The sequence below is a fragment of the Homo sapiens genome, chromosome 21, assembly GCF_000001405.40.
Source record: "Homo sapiens chromosome 21, GRCh38.p14 Primary Assembly".
Taxonomy (NCBI): Eukaryota; Metazoa; Chordata; class Mammalia; order Primates; family Hominidae; genus Homo; species Homo sapiens.
This window is the reverse complement of record NC_000021.9, coordinates 37,061,197-37,075,859: the sequence shown is the minus strand read 5'-3', so window position 1 is coordinate 37,075,859 and position 14,663 is coordinate 37,061,197. Positions and strand designations below refer to the sequence as shown.

Sequence of the window (14,663 nt, the reverse complement as noted above, 5' to 3'; positions counted from 1 at the left end):
CCTCACCTGCCACTAAAGAGGTACATATTTAACATATCATGGAAATTCTATCTATACATCAATCATAGGATCTGACATACATTAGGTATACAACAAATGTTCATTGGAATTAATCTTATGAGAACCAAAGGAGATAAAGACTAAGCCAATTAGCTATAAGAGATAAATCCATAGGCTGACACAGGGCTACAAGAGAAGCCAAGGTGGCTACAAGCAAATTTAGCAGCAACCAAAAGTCATAAGGAAGCTGGTCAGTAAAGAGATGGCAAAAATGTAAAGTCTCATAACATAAAGTGTTAGCAGGGTTGTGAGGAAATTGTGTTCTCACTCAACACCAGTGACAGTGAAAATTGGTACAACCACTTCGAGAGCTTCTGTGATACTTGGTTAAATTGAAGACGCACATAGCCTACAATCCGGCAAATCTACTACTTAGGTGTACTTCCTACAGAAACTTCCAAATGTGTGCACAAGCAGACAAGTACAAAGATATTTATTGCAGGACTGTTTTTAAGAGTCAAAAACTGAAACAAGTTCAAAGTCTATCAACAGGGGAATGTATAAATAAATATGGTATATTCATACAACGCAATTCTATACCAGCAATTAAAATGAATGAACCAAAGATAACACAATCATTCAATTTGTTCATATATAAACCTCAAAATATGATGCTGAGCAAAAAAAAAAAAAGCAAGTTGCAAAAAGGCATGTATATTTTAATGCCATTAAAGTTTAAAAACAAACAATAATATATATTGTGTATGGATTCACCTTGATCAAAGTATAAAATATGCAAAGTAAAGATATACACAAACCTCAACGCAGTGGCTATCTCTAGAAAAGGAGGGGAAGGAACTGAGAGCAATTTTATTTCTTTAAAAAAAAAGAGTATCTGAAGTAAATTTGGCAAAAGATTAAATAATCACGTCTGTAAAATCTGAATCATGGATTGGTTAGCTCCCCCTCTGTATTTGATATCTGAAATATTCCAAAAATTAAAAGAAAAAAAGGAAAATTAGACAATAAGAAAATTGGGCAGAACAAAGACACCAAAACGCAGCCCTTGAGCGCAGAGCACGAAACCTTGAGCAATCGGAGCAGTAGCTGGGTCTCTAAGGGGTTTGAAGTTTCTTACCCTAGGTATCCTTATACTATATCCCATTTTCCTTAGGATAAATCGCAAATTTCTTGCAACAAAAAATGTCCTAACTAGAGTCGTAGTTATAAGGAAAAGGCTCTCTCCGGAGGAGTAAAATCTGTAAAATTTCTACCTTGTTTCCCTCGCCAGGATCTTGGGCAAAATGGAAAGAGATTTAGGTGAATGCCATAAAATACTCTATAAACCATTAAATATCATCAAGAACGCCTAAGGACCGCATCGCCCAGTAGGAGAGTGCATATATTTTGAAAGGTCTCTGCAACTGAGGGGGTTTTGGCGTCCAGGGCGCCACTGGAAAAGGCACGGCGCACTGGTACCAGCCCAAATTCACCTACGTCTCGGCTTCATTTTTTATCTTTGATCCCCCTATTCTGTCTCCTGAACAGGCTGGCTGAAGAGGCCACACTGGCAGCGTCAACACTGCGGAGCAGCTGGCCAGACTCGATCCTGTCCACCCCCCTTCCCATTAGCGTCTGTGGGAGAGAATGCTCAGAAAGAGGCGCGGGGGCGAGGGGAGCGGCGAGGTTACCCCCCTCCTGGGTCCGTTCCGTGGGGACAGGCCCTGGACTGGACTGCCAGTTCACACGAAAACAGGTGGCAACAGAGTCGTGACACGCACACACAGCAAGGGGTGTGCACGAACGTTCACGCTCACCAACGAAACCTGCACACAAGAGATACCCACTCGACAGAATTAAATCCGCACACAAGAGATCACGCACTCAACAGGACCCATGCGCAGACACTCTGCGTCACTCGGAGACACGCAAGGACGCACACTTGCGCGAGCAAGGCTCTAGGCGGGGGTCGCAATTGCAGAAGGCGCGGCCACGCGCGCTAGGGGACGCGCAGCCCACAGACAGGGGCAGTAACACAAAGGGGGGCCACCTGCAAGGCCGAGAGCGCCCACGCAGCCGCCAGGGAGCGCGGACACCGACACAAAAGGGGCGACGAGGCGACACGCGAGCGCCTCCACCCAGCGGAGGTGTCAGCCACGCACCGGCCGAGGCACGGGCAGCGGGGGGTTGCGCACAAAGGGACTACTCACACCCTCGCACCGGCATCCCAGGGCCTCGCTCGCGAAGGGGCACCAGACCAAGGGGGCAAACCCACTGGGGTAGGCAATGGCGGCCACACCCCCTCATCGCGCGGGACCCAACCCATGCAGACACAGTAGGCACCTCAGCGAGGGACGCGAGGAGACGCGCACACACCCACACTCACCACACACCCACGGAGGGGGTGTGGAAGGCCCCGCTCCCCCGGCATCTCGGCTGCAGCGGGACAAGGTGACACATCCGGGAGCCCGGCAGCGCGCCGGGTGTGCACTCACCCGGGCCCGCCGCCCGCGAGCCTCGGACGCGGGCAGCAGCAGCAGCAGCCGCCGCCGCCGCCGCCGCCACCTCCGGCCCTCCACGTCAGCCGACGGCGGGAGGGAGCGGGTGGCGGCGTTGAAGCGAGGTGCGTCACGTGGGCTGGCAGCGCGCGTGCGCAGTCGCACCCCACCGCCCCCTCCTTCGCCGTCGCGAGCCGCGGGATCACGCCCGCCCCCGCGCTCGCTGGCTCCCACCCGGGGAGGGTCGTTGTGCGCCTGCGCCAGGGTGGGGGTTGCCGTCGCGCCTAGGCCTTTCCCTCAGGTTTTCCTCTTCCCCACTGCGGCTCCCCAGTCGGCGCTTGCGCGGAGAACTCAGCGCTGAGGTGGCCGAGGTGTCGGGAGGGGCCTGGGTGGGCGTATGAAGGACCCGAGGTCGAGGGCCCCCCCATACCCCGCCTCGAATGAGAAATAGAAGTCTCCACGAATGGGCAGGGCCCGGGGCCTGGGCGCCGCGACCTAGTAGGCCCGCATGCTGGTGGGCGCCGCGCGAGCCTTGTTCCCTGCCCTCCCCTCCCACAGGGAGGCCACGCTTGCAGAGCTGGAGCGCGCGTCTATCGCCCCAGAACCCCCCTCCCTGCCCTATCCTCCGCCACCCCTTCTGTTGCGGGGCGCGCGCCAGCCTGGGTGTCTGTATGCGCTCGAGGCGGGGGCGCGGGTTGCGGACGGAGGCGCGGGAGGCGGTTCTGCGCGGCGGGGGCCGTACCCGCGGCGGAGCGAGGAGGCGAGAATGGATCAATGGTGCCACGGAGCACATCGCTGACGCTGATTGTGTTCCTTTTCCACAGATTGTCTAAAGCCCCAGGAAAAATGGTGGAAAATTCACCGTCGCCATTGCCAGAAAGAGCGATTTATGGCTTTGTTCTTTTCTTAAGCTCCCAATTTGGCTTCAGTAAGTACTTTCCTGATGGATGGCCAGGGGCTTTTTCTGGCGTTCAGTGACAAGGGAAGAATACATTGGTTAGACTGTGCACACATGAACTGTTGATTCTTTCTCCCTATGTCTCTTTTTAAGAAAATCTGAAGGGATCTCGTGTTTGCTGAGTGTTCCGTGTGCCAGCACTAGCCTAGGAGGTTTTAGTCTCTACAAATATTTATACAGCACCAGACGCGATGGCAAAGTGGATAAAGCCTGGTCCCTGCCCTTAAGGAGGTCGTGGTCTTGTGGAGGAGACAGATGGGTAAATCTACAGTTAATGCTCAGTGTGATGAGTGTCAGGGAGCACGGTGGAGAGACATTGAAACCAGACTGGAAAGTCAAGGCTTTCTACAGAGGCCTTTCCCCCTGGCACTGATGCTGATTAGGAAAGAGTAAGAGGGAGGGAAGAAGTGGAAAGGCCTTGAATGAGGGCGTGAGAGGGTTTGGACCCGAGGAGCTTGTGATGTCACCAGTGTGCCCTGCGGGATCTGGGGAACAGGAGAAGTAGGCCAGAGAAGTCGGGTTGAAAGGTGTGTCGTTTGCGTCCTGGATCTCCCTTAATTTAACCCCATAACATTCCATTTTACAGATAAGGAGACTGATGCTCACTAAGACACTAATATGCCCACTCACACAGCAAGTCCCAAGTCTCTCCCCAAAATGATTTGAGAATTTTGAGGCACACAAAAGGGAGAAAATTGAGTGCCCGTGATCCAACGTTCTGCAACTGTTTGGAAACCAGGAAAGTGGAGGAGTGGTAGTACTTCTGAACCCTAACTAAAATATATCAGCCTGCACCATCAGCACAGCTTGCAGATGAATGTAATGGCCAGGCTATTAAAACTGAAGTGAAGTGAAGAAGTTACAACTGAGTTCGAATTCTGACTCCTCCACAGATTAGCCATGTGAGCTGGGACCCTCAGCAAATTTTTTGAGCCTCAGGTTCCTTATCTGTAAAAGGGTAGTGATAATGATGGTTATTAAATGCTTATGACGCATGAAACAGTTCTATGGGGTAGGTTCTGTTATTACTGTCCTTTAAAGATGAGCATCCTGTGGTTTCAGTAACTTGCTCAAGATTGCAAAGCTACTAAATAAAAGCCTTCTAAATTTGAACCCAAATACACTGGCTGACTTCACTCTGCTGCCTCTTCTGACTGTTGTGAGGATTAACGGGGGTAATTTATGTAAAGCACGTAAAATAATGCCTAGGAACAGTTAGGGACTTAATAAGTGTTAGCTACTGATGTTATTGTTAGCACTTTTGTAAATCCTTGTTCAAAGAGTATGTCAAGGATTAGAAGCTATATGAATAAATAAAAGCAATCACTTTAAGGCTTAAATTCTGGCCGGCCTGGTGGCTCACGCCTGTAATCCCGGCACTTTGGGTGGCCGAGGCAGGCAGATCATCTGAGGTCGGGAGTTTGAGACCAGCCAGACCAACATGGAAAAACCCTGTCTCTACTAAAAATACAAAATTAGCCGGGATGGTGGCGCATGCCTGTAACTCCAGCTACTCGGGAGGCTGAGGCAGGAGAATCGCTTGAACCCGGGAGGCGGAGGTTGCCGTGAGCTGAGATTGCACTTTTGCACTCCAGCCTGGGCAACGAGCGAAACTGTCTCAAAACAAAATTAAATTCCATCATACCCACAACCAAAAAGTAATTCAAGTATTTATTGGTGCTTACCATGTGCCAGGCACTGTTACAGGCCAGGAAGGACCAAAACAGCCAAAAATGCCCTGCTTTGAGTCTTCATTCTCATGCCGGGGGGAGATAGTCAATGGGCAAGTTAAATAAGAAAAACGTATATAGTATCAGGTGATAACGTACTATGGGGAGAAATTAAGCAAAGGGAAGGAGGATACGAAGTGGAAGGAGGGCCTTCTAATGTGCTTCTATGTCATCTTTTATTACTCATTCGTGAGCACTTGTAACAATGTAGTGAAAATACCAATTTTCTCTATTCACCACTAGATTTTAAGTTTAGGGAGGGCAGAAGCCATCTCTTTTGGATTCAATATTGTGTCTCACACACCTGACATACAGAATTCTGTAATACATATTTGTTAAGAAAAGAATGCATCATCACTGATGTAGTAGGTAGTTAAAATTTATCTTTGCCGCTTACCTTGGGTAGGTGATGTATCCTTTCTAAGCTTCCATTTCCTCATCATTTAAAATTGCATACTTGCCTTGGAGGATTGTCTTGGAGGATTATCTTAATGCATACAGAATGCTTGGAACTGTGCTTAACCCACAGTGAGTGCTCAGAACTTAGCCATTGTTGTTATCGTGGGATAACAGTAAAGAGTGCCGAGATTTCGGATTGAGGGAAATAACATTGTACTCTGGGAGATAGGGCAGAAGCTCAGTATGTGGTGGATGAGAACTAGGGTAGGTAAATTTCCCTTTGAGCAATTAAATGTCTATAATTACTTCAACCTTGTGGGGATGAAGTATTGAACACTTACTGTACCTAAAGCAAACTGCTAGGTAATAAGGATTACAACAATTGCTAAGCCATGATTTGTATCCTTGAATTGCTTAAAATATAATGTGAGTTAAGATATTAAAAAAAAAGACTAATACAGTAATTATAAGTATTATAAGAATTGTGCAAACGAGCTAGAAGAACTGAAAGGAGGAAAAAATCATTTCTGAGTTAATCAGGGACACTTCAAAAGAGCTTTTCTGTTTTATCTGAATCTTAATAGATTGATAGATTAGATGTATGTCTTACTGACTTCTCTTCCTCTTTTTTTTCTTTTTCTTTTCTACAGTACTTTACCTCGTGTGGGCCTTTATTCCTGAATCTTGGCTAAACTCTTTAGGTTTAACCTATTGGCCTCAAAAGTAAGTTTAATATATTTCTTAAATGAGGATATAATTAATGCTGTTTTGAGGAGTCATATCATTTCTTAAACCTACCCAAATCTTAAATATTTGTTCTCTTAAAATTCATGAATAGCCATATAGAAATTGAAAGCTTTTTAAAGATCGCTATTGATACATCTCTAATTAAAGATGGTAGCATGAACACACATGTTTATCTCCATCCATTTCCTCCAAAAATCTTGTTAAAATGACCCTACAGGAAAAAAAAAAAAAACTGAAGATACAAACCACAGAAACAATAGTATAGCAGAAAAGAGATATCAACCACATTTTGGAAAGTGGATTGTGATAGGTGAGAGGTAACTGCCTTTGTTTCTGTGATTTTCACGTTGCTGAAGTAGGGAAGCCAGCAAGAATATTTGTGCCTTAGAACTCCAGAATAGCTCAGACATTGGGGTACCAGGTAGCTCTTTAATTCTGGGTTGAACTGAAAACATGTTTAAAGACCATATGAAGTCTTCAGCCTTCAAATCTCCCTCAGCCCTCAAAGCTGGGAGGCCTGCCCTGCCCTCCCCTGCAGAAAACAGGAGTTTTACTCTCTGGCAAGGTTAAGTAAGAGTCTCTAGCATGGGGGCCACTAAGTCTGAGTGTGGGAATGCGGCATCTTACTGAAAACAGGGAAGTAAGTGAAAATCTACATGGCTTAATGAGAAGATTTACCTCCTGCTCCATCTTCCCTCTTGGGGCTTCGAGGCTTATATCACCCTACTGCTCACAGAAAAAGATAGATAGTTCTTTCCTGAGGAAGCTGACCAGCCCGAGAGAAAGGATCTATAATTTCTGACATTTAGAGGACCCCAGTGAAGTGGCCAAGTCTCTCAGAGTGAGGCTCACCAGTTGACCATCCCTGCCCACATACACATAGTGCTTCCAACTCACTTGTTAGCACTTCATTTTTAAATATGAATGGACTACTCTAAGTTACCAGACATTAAAAGAAAGCCTCTAGCATGAAATGAAAAAGCAGAAAATTAAAGGGAATTTGAAGGAAATAGAGATAATGCAGGAAACAGAAAAAAAAATTTAAATAACATAAAATTCTCAGAGGTAAGAAACAATTATAACTATGAAACAAGAACAGAATGCTATGCAAACAGGAAATTACTGTATTTGGAAATTGTAAACATGATAACCAAAATTAAAATTTTAATTGAAAGACTGGAAAATAAAACAAAGGTAATCTCTAGAAGTTAGAACAAAAAAAAATGAAAATATAAGAAAGTATAATCGTTAAAAATTCAAACTATTAGAAGTTCCAGAAAGAGAAAATAATAGAGAACAAATCATTTAAAAAAAAAAAAACATCTGGCCAACATCTCAAGACCCCATTTCTACAAAAAAATTAAAAATTAGCCAGGTGTGGTGGTGTGTGCCTATAGTCCCAGCTACTTGCAGGGCTGAAGTGAGCTCAGCAGATTGAGGCTAGTGATCTGTGATCATGCCGTTGCACTCCAGCCTGGGTGACAGAGGGAAATGCTTTCTCAAAAAGAAAAAAAAAACACTCAATGAAAAATAGCACTCCATGTACATAATGATACTGAGAGGCATAATAGAGTCCTATCAGAGAATTTGAGGCTCTGGTATTGGTGGATTCCTGGGAAACCAAGTGAACAGACAAAAAGATGTAATTATTCCAGAAAAAAAAAAGTTGTACAAGAAAATATATAATAATAATGTACTAAGATCCTCAGTTGCAAAATTGTTTATGTAGGTACAATTATTTCTAAAACCTGCTGCTATAATGAGAAATTGCAATGTAAGTATAGAAGAGGATAGGAGGAGGTTAATTCCTTATCTCCATATTAGGAAGCCTAGAGAAAATGTCTGTAATGGAAAAAAATGAGGAAATAGTAATATGAGCATGTTTTGTAGCAATGAGGAGGTAAGTACCAGAAGACAGCTCAAGTGCTCAAAGCATTTCTTTTTGGAGAGTGAGACCCCAGGGTTGGGATGGTGGGATAGAGGACTGCAGTTTTTCACTGTAAGCCTTGTGGAACTATTTGTCTCTTATGTACACATATTACTTTATAAAATTTAAATTTAAAAAACATGTTGGCTTTGTGACCGACTCTTGAGAATTACAACTTTTTTAAAGTGTCTATTATGTACTTTAATATTCTCTTTGGCAGATATTGGGCAGTTGCATTACCTGTCTACCTCCTTATTGCTATAGTAATTGGCTACGTGCTCTTGTTTGGGATTAACATGATGAGTACCTCTCCACTCGACTCCATCCATACAATCACAGGTAACTTTATATAAAAGGAAAGTGCTGGGGCAATGAAAGAGTGGAGTATTAGCACTTTTACCCAGAAAAGCAACAAAGAACAGGCTGCAAAACCCATGTTGGTGGTGCGCGTCTGTAATCCCAGCTACTTGGGAGGCTGAGGCAGGAGAATCACTTGAACCCAGGAGGCAGAGGTTGCAGTGAGCCAAGATCCCACCACTGTACTCCAGCTTGGGTGACAAGAGTGAAACTCCATCCTAAAAGAAAACACACACACACACACACACACACACACACACACACACACACACGGACAGTAAAAAGAAGCTACTAAGAGAAATAAATACAAACTTATATAAAAGGAAATATTTGCATGAAGGAATTAAGTTCTGATGAATACACACTAGCTATATTCATGGAGGAAATAAATTATAATTAATTATAGCACTGGTTAGCAGGTGTATGTTCCCATAAAAACCACAAGTATATGCTATATGTGTCTATAATATGTTCCCATTAACTTTGCCTGAGAGAAGCTTATCCTGAACAGACACCGTTGATCAAGGGATAGTAAATAGTACATGCAGACCTTGTTCAGAAAAAGGACTTTGGGGGTGTGTATCCTCCTCAGGATCATTGTGTACTCCTTATTCCAATTAAGTGGATAAAAGAGCCACAACACGTTCGTCTGGTTTTATTTTTTTAAAGTTCTTTCAAGTCTAAAGATGAAAATAAATCAGACTCCTGAGCTTGCTTAAATTCTAGAAAGTAAAGTATTTTTTAAGTTCCCTGGTATGATTTTTCAACTTTTCAAAACCTTTATATATTAGCCTCTACAATGTATTTTGAAAATCAATTCTATTATTTTTAAGTGTCTTTCTAATACACTGCATTCCATGCATTCTTGATTGGAATTGGCAGCAAATAGGTAATTTGTGCAAAGAGGGGAAATTGTTAAGATTGCATGAATATTTATACCAAATGATTTAATAGTTTTGCCATGTTGATTTAAATACATTTTCAAGGCCTGGATATAATTCTGTTCCCGTGAGAAATGTGCAAATGAGACTTTAATCATCATTGTATGGTTGATTAAAATATTGATTTCTTTCCAAGTTAGAGATGAAAAAAGTACTTTACTGATGTTTTTATTTTTTTATTTTTATTTATTTATTTATTTATTTTTTATTTTTTATTTTTGAGATGGAGTCTCGCTCTGTCACCCAGGCTGGAGTGCAATGGCGCAATCTCGGCTCACTGCAGGCTCCGCCCCCTGGGTTCACGCTGTTCTCCTGCCTCAGCCTCCCGAGTAGGTGGGACTACAGGCGCCCGCCACCTCACCAGGCTAATTTTGTGTGTTTGTGTTTTTAGTAGAGACAGGGATGTTTTTATTTTAATTGGGACATTTCTTCTAAAGAGAGGATTTAAGTAATCATCTAATTATGTTAAACATGATGTTTGTCACTATCCAAACGTCAGCCTAGTAAACTATGTGGTGGGTCTCCATCAGACACAGAGACTGTAGAAGAAATTGCTTAGGTAAACAGAGCTTTTTGGTCTTTTCTTACAGATAACTATGCAAAAAATCAACAGCAGAAGAAATACCAAGAGGAGGCCATTCCAGCCTTAAGAGATATTTCTATTAGTGAAGTAAACCAAATGTTCTTTCTTGCAGCCAAAGAACTTTACACCAAAAACTGAACTGTGTGTAACCATAGTAACACCAAGCACGTATTTATTTATAAGTTTTTGCCATTATAATTTTGACCATAAATTAATTTGACCATCTCTCTTATTAATAGAGAAGTAAAAAATGTAAGTTGACCTTCTCTTAGATTATGTTCAATGAATATTGTAAATGTTCAAGTATTGTTAATGAATAGAATAAATACAATATTGCATTCCCATATAGCAGACTTAAAAAAAAAAATCAATGTCAGTATAATCAAGAAGTTCCTCCAGAGAGGCATTTATATTGTAATTTGCAAAGGGCAATGATGTCCTTCCTCCTGTTTGTCCTGAGGGGCCCAGAATTCAAACCCTTAGTTTTTGGGAAGGGTACAGTTAGTACTTGTGCCATCAGATTCATGTCTAAGACACAAATATTTGTTGAGTACTCACTGTGTACCAGGTATTTTTCTAGGCACTGAGGATGAAGTAATGGTAAGATTCTCTCTCAAAGAGCTTATAGTTTTAGAAGCAGGGTGAGGCAACTAAGCAAATAAACAAGGAAATATAATTTGATGAGTGCTATGCAAAGAATTAAGATAATGTATTCTAGAATGCAAAGGGATGACTAGTTCACATTGGGTGGTCAAGGAAGGCCTCTCAGAGAGAGGCTGTTGGGATCTAAGTATAAAGCAGGTGAGGCAAAGACCATAAGGTGGGAAGGAACTTGGTTTGTCCTAAGAACAGAGAGAAGACTGGCATTGGGCATAGAGCATACCAAACAAGAGAGAATGTGGTCCCAGGTGAGCCTGGAGAGACCGGGCCCAGATTGTGAAGGGCTTTGTAGGCTGGTGTAGGAAGTGTGGATTTAAGTGTAAGTGTGATGAGTTTGAGGCACTTTAGGATCAAGCTGTTGGGAGTCTTGAAGGAAAGGAATGACATGGCCTGATTTCTGTTTTTAAAAGTCATCCTGATTGGTGAATGAAGAATAGATTCAGAGGAGGAGCTGGGAAGGGGACAATAACCATATCCTTACCCAGTAAGCATGAGATGGATAACATGAATCTGCTTTTCCTGTTCCCTAGTTTGTCCCAGTTCCTGTTATTTTATGGTGAGAGCATGTCACCACACTTAAGAGCAGTATAAGGGGACTGGATGTGGTGGTTCATGCCTGTAATCCCAGCACTTTGGGAGGTTGAGGCAGCTGGATCACCTGAGGTCAGGAGTTGGAGACCAGCCTGGCCAACATGGCAAAACCTCATATCTACTAAAAATACAAAAATTAGTCAGGCGTGGTGGCAGGCGTCTGTAATCCCAGCTACTCGGGAGGCTGAGGCAGGAGAATTGCTTGAGCCTGGGAGGCAGAGATTGCAGTGAGCCGAGATCATGCCACTGCACTCCAGCCTTAGCAACAGAGCGAGACGGTTACCTTGGCAACCGTCTCAAAAAAAAAAGAAACAAAAAAAAGCAGTGTAAGGGAACCAGCGAACTCCACCAAGTATAGAATGATAAATAAATCATGGTCTGTTTCTACAATTGAACACTACACAGCCATGCAAACAAGAATGCATTACTTCTCTACCTAATAATATGAATTAATATGGCCATAACATTGGGCAAAAAAAGCCAGACACAAAAGAGTAAACTACTGCGTGGTTCCCTTTATTTGAAGTTCAAAATCAGGAAAAACTAATCTATGGTGGCAAATATTAGAATAATGGTTACCTTTGGAGAAGAGTATTATCTAGGAGGAGGCATGAAGGAGCCTGCTGGTGAATTGAAAATGCCCTACATCTTGATCTGGGTGGTGGTTATGGTTACATGGAGGTAATACATGTTTTTAAAAAATCATTAAGTTATTAAGATTTCTGCTTCTGATGCAAGTTACACCTCAATAAAAAGGGGAAAAAAAAACAGTGCCTATGCCTACCTCCAGAAAATGTTGATTCATTGGTCTGGAGTAGAGCACAGGCAGGGGTAATTTTTTAACATCTTCCAGATGCTTCCAATATGCAGCCAGGGTCGAGAATGACTCCCTTACATGATTGGACTCCCTTACATGATTGGACTCCCTTACATGATTGGACTCCCTTACATGATTGGACTCCCTTACATGATTAGACTTAACTGAGTTTTGGTCAAGCAGGGCAGTAGCTGTAAGCTTTGGAAGAGAAAGCCAGCAGTTATCCGAGCGGTTCCCTCCCATCTGTGAGACTCTTGCTCATGTCAGCAGTATTCCCTTGTCTTCCCCTCGGACAGGTGATGGGCCTGAGACGGGTTTGAAATAGGTCAGGATAGAACCTTCATGGACTCTAGTGTTCTATTGCACATTAAGCCTCAAATTAACTTTTCATTCTGGTTTCCAACCACTCTGTCCTTACAGGTCATGAAAGGAACACCAATGTTTTGCAAACTATGGGCAGCAGTGTTTTTGAGGGTCATGATCAGTTTAGTGTAGCAATTCTCTATCTTTTCTTAAGATCTTAGGACCCCTTTATTCTTGTAAAGAGTGAGAGCCCCAAAGACCTTTTGTGTATGTAGATATATTTAAAAATTAAAATAGAAAATTTTTAAATATTTGTTTATAAATAATACGTTACCTTTTAGATATAAAATTAACTCATCACATAATGAGAAACAAAATTTCTGTTACAGAAACATTTCACCCAAATCATTGTAGTAATACTAAGCTGATTCTAAAAGGACAAATTTAACATAAACATATTCATGAGAAATAACTATTTTCTAAAACAAAAAAATTCAGTGAGACAAGTAGAATTGTTTTACATTTCTCCAAGTCTCTTTAATGTCTGGCTTCATGGAACACAGCCGTTTCTCATATCTGCTTGTGCATTCAGTCTGTGACATTAGCGCCTGTCACGAAGCCTCTGGAAAGCTCCGCTGCATAGTCATGAGAGAACGAGGATGAAAAAGACAAAACATCTCAGCAGTATTAGGAAAATAGTTTTGACCTCATAGGCCCCCTGAAATATGGTCTTGGGACCCCCGGACTTTGAGAACCACTGGTTAGTGGGCCTCCACTAGTGTGTGTGTGATGAACTAGAATAGAATATGTCAGTGCATTGCACTCAGTAAGGGTGAATATTTTGACTGAACGTCTGTTTCAACCACTTCAGAGCCTCTCTGTTCACCTCTTACTCCAGCCACTGATGCCCCAAACAGTTCATGCAAATTTAACCACATCCACATAGGTGCCTCTTATAGTACACTCTGGAAGGAGAGGGGTTAACACCCACAGGACCAGCCTGGAGCCCAACCTGGGAGAGGTATCAGTGGATATACACATCCTTCTTTCAGCCCGGAGGAGACAGTTCTGCACTGCATTCCATGAGCTCCTCAGAAGGTCTCATGGGATTGAACTGCGGTTGCCACGATGGTGGTGGACTCAGCCCACGTGCTTGTCTGTCTGATGTGTTTTGCACCCTCTGCCACTTGGCCCTGCTCTCTGTGGTCACTTTCCCAGTAAATTGCCTGCACACAAGCCTTTGTCCCAGTCTCTGCTTTCAGAACTCCAGCTGAGATGTTTTTTGTTTTTGGTATTTTTGAGACAGGATCAAAGCTGGAATGCAGTGGTGCCATCATGGCTCACTGCAGCCTTGAACTCCCAGGCTCAAGCGATCCTCCCACCTCAGCCTCCCAAGTAGCTATGACCACAGGCATGCACCGCTATGCCTAGCTAATCTTTTTATTTTTTTTTTTTTTGTAGTGACAGGGTCTCCCTGTGTTGCCCAGGCTGTGAGATGTTTTTGTTTTGTAAAAATTGTGCTTCTGCCATGATGTATAATGCATGTCCTAATTTAAGAAAAAAGTTTGAAAGACACTGTTCTGCAATGAGCCCAAATAATAGCCTAAAATACTCCAAATAGAAAGTGTCAATAATATAAAAATTTCCATATATTAACAAAACCTTCTCCAGTGATTCAACTCCCAGGGAGAAATAAAAGCCCAAGTATGAAATCACCTAATGAAAAGCCAACATAATTTAAATCCAAAATTCTGCTCCCCCTAATTTCTTGACCTGCCCTGTTTTAGTTAAAAGGATCTCAATCAGATGTTTGGGTTTCCTCAGGAAGCTGCTGCCTAGGCTGTCATAAGAATGGGAGTCATTCCTTAAGCACATTGACCCAACCCAAAATTTCTTGCATCTCCCAGTTTTTTAAAGATTCAGTAGGCTATATGAAAATGTCATATTAACAGTCCCATGCCCATGGAACTTTGAAAATCCAAATAAATCAACTCCTACAGCAATAGTGATGGAACCCAGTACATTGTATAGTACAGACCCACCAGCCAGTAACTAGAACAGACTTGATGGGACATGGGGAAAGGAAGACAGAAAACGGAAGAGGAAAGAGAGATTCTTCTTGATTCATCGTGCTGGGGTGCAGGTCAGGCTA

General features: G+C 43.0%; 2 protein-coding genes across 13 annotated transcripts in view, besides 5 other annotated features; one reads left to right on the top strand and one right to left on the bottom strand.

Moving 5' to 3' along the window:
- The window catches only part of TTC3 (tetratricopeptide repeat domain 3), a 129,865-nt gene extending 127,259 nt beyond the window's left edge, over window positions 1–2,606 (bottom strand). For 4 of the 9 annotated variants that reach the window (NM_001320704.2, NM_001330683.2, NM_001330682.2 and 1 more), the window contains exon 1: window positions 2,387–2,606. Coding sequence is in view for 1 of the 9 variants with exons in the window: in NM_001320703.2 (NP_001307632.1) it covers window positions 2,377–2,431 (55 nt within the window). In the remaining 8 variants the exon portion in view is untranslated. Of the gene's footprint in view, window positions 1–2,376 lie in introns of all 9 variants that reach the window. The other 5 variants (NM_001001894.3, NM_001353937.2, NM_001330681.2 and 2 more) reach the window with 2 other exon arrangements.
- Window positions 2,199–2,258: a silencer, noted in NCBI's record as "silent region_13298". NCBI's record gives its function as "represses an Ori minimal core promoter by ATAC-STARR-seq in GM12878 lymphoblastoid cells {active_cell/tissue: GM12878}" and the evidence as "EXISTENCE:reporter gene assay evidence [ECO:0000049][PMID:35858748]".
- Window positions 2,479–2,798: a silencer, noted in NCBI's record as "silent region_13297". NCBI's record gives its function as "represses an Ori minimal core promoter by ATAC-STARR-seq in GM12878 lymphoblastoid cells {active_cell/tissue: GM12878}" and the evidence as "EXISTENCE:reporter gene assay evidence [ECO:0000049][PMID:35858748]".
- Window positions 2,479–2,891: a biological region, named in NCBI's record as "Sharpr-MPRA regulatory region 5899".
- Window positions 2,597–2,891: an enhancer, noted in NCBI's record as "tiled region #5899; HepG2 Activating DNase unmatched - State 1:Tss, and K562 Activating DNase unmatched - State 1:Tss". NCBI's record gives its function as "activates a minimal TATA promoter and a strong SV40 promoter by Sharpr-MPRA in HepG2 and K562 cells {active_cell/tissue: HepG2 | K562}" and the evidence as "EXISTENCE:reporter gene assay evidence [ECO:0000049][PMID:27701403]".
- PIGP (phosphatidylinositol glycan anchor biosynthesis class P) lies at window positions 2,789–10,496 on the top strand. Of its 4 annotated transcripts, NM_016430.4 has the most exons (6): window positions 2,789–2,860; window positions 3,323–3,426; window positions 3,550–3,715; window positions 6,236–6,308; window positions 8,480–8,598; window positions 10,148–10,486. In NM_016430.4, exons 3-6 carry the CDS (start codon window positions 3,712–3,714, stop codon window positions 10,276–10,278), a joined length of 327 nt encoding a protein of 108 aa, NP_057514.2. In that variant the 5' UTR covers window positions 2,789–2,860; window positions 3,323–3,426; window positions 3,550–3,711; the 3' UTR covers window positions 10,279–10,486. The 4 variants fall into 4 exon arrangements, with proteins under 4 accessions (NP_057514.2, NP_710149.1, NP_001307409.1 ...); NM_153682.3 differs by lacking the exon at window positions 3,550–3,715; NM_001320480.2 differs by lacking the exon at window positions 3,550–3,715 and having other exon boundaries at window positions 2,789–3,012.
- Window positions 3,039–3,318: a silencer, noted in NCBI's record as "silent region_13296". NCBI's record gives its function as "represses an Ori minimal core promoter by ATAC-STARR-seq in GM12878 lymphoblastoid cells {active_cell/tissue: GM12878}" and the evidence as "EXISTENCE:reporter gene assay evidence [ECO:0000049][PMID:35858748]".
- Window positions 10,497–14,663: the final 4,167 nt, after the last annotated feature.

What these genes read in the sequence shown, in the direction of transcription:
- PIGP (NM_153681.2), top strand. Translation starts at nt 3,273, where the DNA reads ATGGTGCCACGGAGCACATCGCTGACGCTGATTGTGTTCCTTTTCCAC. An exon ending in AAGCTCCCAATTTGGCTTCA is followed by an intron (nt 3,427 to 6,235) that starts GTAAGTACTTTC and finishes TCTTTTCTACAG; the next exon opens with TACTTTACCTCGTGTGGGCC. An exon ending in CTCCATCCATACAATCACAG is followed by an intron (nt 8,599 to 10,147) that starts GTAACTTTATAT and finishes CTTTTCTTACAG; the next exon opens with ATAACTATGCAAAAAATCAA.